Source organism: Homo sapiens, chromosome 5, assembly GCF_000001405.40.
Source record: "Homo sapiens chromosome 5, GRCh38.p14 Primary Assembly".
NCBI lineage: Eukaryota > Metazoa > Chordata > Mammalia > Primates > Hominidae > Homo > Homo sapiens.
This window is the reverse complement of record NC_000005.10, coordinates 149958861-149960693: the sequence shown is the minus strand read 5'-3', so window position 1 is coordinate 149960693 and position 1833 is coordinate 149958861. Positions and strand designations below refer to the sequence as shown.

At 48.4% G+C, this 1833-nt stretch overlaps 2 annotated features.

Moving 5' to 3' along the window:
* Positions 917-1520: an enhancer, noted in NCBI's record as "NANOG hESC enhancer chr5:149338737-149339340 (GRCh37/hg19 assembly coordinates)". NCBI's record gives its function as "activates a minimal SCP1, AML or CMV promoter by ChIP-STARR-seq in naive H9 embryonic stem cells {active_cell/tissue: H9 hESC(naive)}" and the evidence as "EXISTENCE:reporter gene assay evidence [ECO:0000049][PMID:30033119]".
* Positions 1041-1120: an enhancer, noted in NCBI's record as "active region_23392". NCBI's record gives its function as "activates an Ori minimal core promoter by ATAC-STARR-seq in GM12878 lymphoblastoid cells {active_cell/tissue: GM12878}" and the evidence as "EXISTENCE:reporter gene assay evidence [ECO:0000049][PMID:35858748]".

Genomic DNA, 1833 nt, shown 5'->3' with positions numbered 1-1833 from the left:
GGCCCAGACCGGGGAGGGTGCCGCCCTCTGACTACTCTCCTCCTCGCGATTGGCTGCCCTGGACAGAAGAGCACAAGCTGGAAGGATTCTTAGAGAGGTTCCGCCGCTGCTTCCGTGGCGTTGACTCCTCCGCGGAGAGAGCGGATGACCGGCCTCGGCGGCTAGCCTGTGGCCAGGGTGAAATAGCAGGAGAGGCGCGGAAGCGCTCTGCCCAGAGTTTTGAAGTGCTCAGCGTTTGCGATCGGCCACCTCTTTATCCAGTACTACTTGGGACCCCGTTCCCTCCCACCCGCCTTTGTAGAACGGGAAATTGAGGCCCCGAACGGGAAAAGAGCTCCTAGAATGTTAGAGGCTCTTGCCTCACTATAACTCATTCCCCATCAAAGATTCCAGTAACCGGAAGGCTAAAATGTAAATTAAAAGGCCGGGCGCAGCGGCTCACGCTTGTAATCCCAGCACTTTGGGGGACCGAGTAGGGAGGATCGCTTGAACCCAGGGGTTCGAGATCAACCTGGGCAGTATAGCCGAACCTTGTCTCTATAAAACATAAAATGTAAATTAAAATGTAATTGTAGTTTTTGTTAAAATCCTTAGTGGGTTTAATGGCATTTGTAGGTAAAATCAAACCCTCCCTATGCCAAGGTACTGTGTGCTTCGGGCACTCATCTCTGCCCCCCTCCCTCGCTGATCTCCACCCATACTGGCCCCCTTTGCTCGCCACGCTTGTTCTCTTTAGGGACCTAAACATTGGTTCTGGCCATCAGATTTCTTCTGGTCTCTCAGGTCTCAGCCAAAACACCAGCCCTCTCCATGGCGAGGCCGTCCCTGACCACCCTGTGTAAACTAGCCACAGCCAGTCACATCCTTTCAGGTCATCTTGATTTAATTATCTGCCTCGAACTGGCCACTATTGAGTATGTATTAATTTGTTCATTCCTCACCTTGTTTGTAGCTTGCATGTGCCCACTAGATGGGGGTGAAGGAGGGCCTGTGAAGGAAGCATGATTAACTTCCTTTCCTTCCCTTTCCGGTGAACGTCTTCACAGTCATTCAAGGAACTCCCTTTCTTATCTAGAGATGATCCCCAAGTTTCTGTCACCCATCAGATTCAGAGTTTCCAAAACGTCATAAGCTGTCTTGGGAATCAGAACACAAACACTTGGGTTCTACTCCTGATGCTGCCCCTTGTGGCTGAAGACAAATCATTTCACCTCAATGGGCATCAATGTTTTCACCTTTCAAAGGGTAGTTAATGCCCTAGCACCCAGAGTCCTGGAGAGGGTCAGGTAAGGCAATCAGTGTAAAGTACTTTGTTTAAGCCCTAAAGACTGCACAACAAGCAGAATAAACAGTTTCTGGATGTTTATCACGTGCCTGCGCAGAACTCTTCACATTCATTACATGAGTTAATCCTCACAACAGCTTTAGAGGAGGTGCCATATTATGATTCTTCTTTTTTTTGGTGAGGAAATGAGGCTCAGAGATGTTAGGTGATCTGCCCAACGTCCCACAGTTAATAAGTGACAGTAGCATGATTTTAACACAGTCACGTCTGACTGCAAAGCCCACTCTTAACCACTACACTCACTGTGCTATGCAAATGCAAGAATCCACTCCAATCCTTGCAGCTGACATTTATTCATTTATTTGTTTGTTTTCTTGTCTGTGTGGGGAAGCCAGGACCTTGCATATAACAGGCACCAATAAAGATTGGCCAAATTTGGCCGGGCATGGTGGTTCATGCCTATAAGCCACTTGAGCTCAGGAGTTAGAGACCAGCCTGGACAACATGGTGAAACTCCAACTCTACCAAAAATAGAAAAAAGTAGCCAG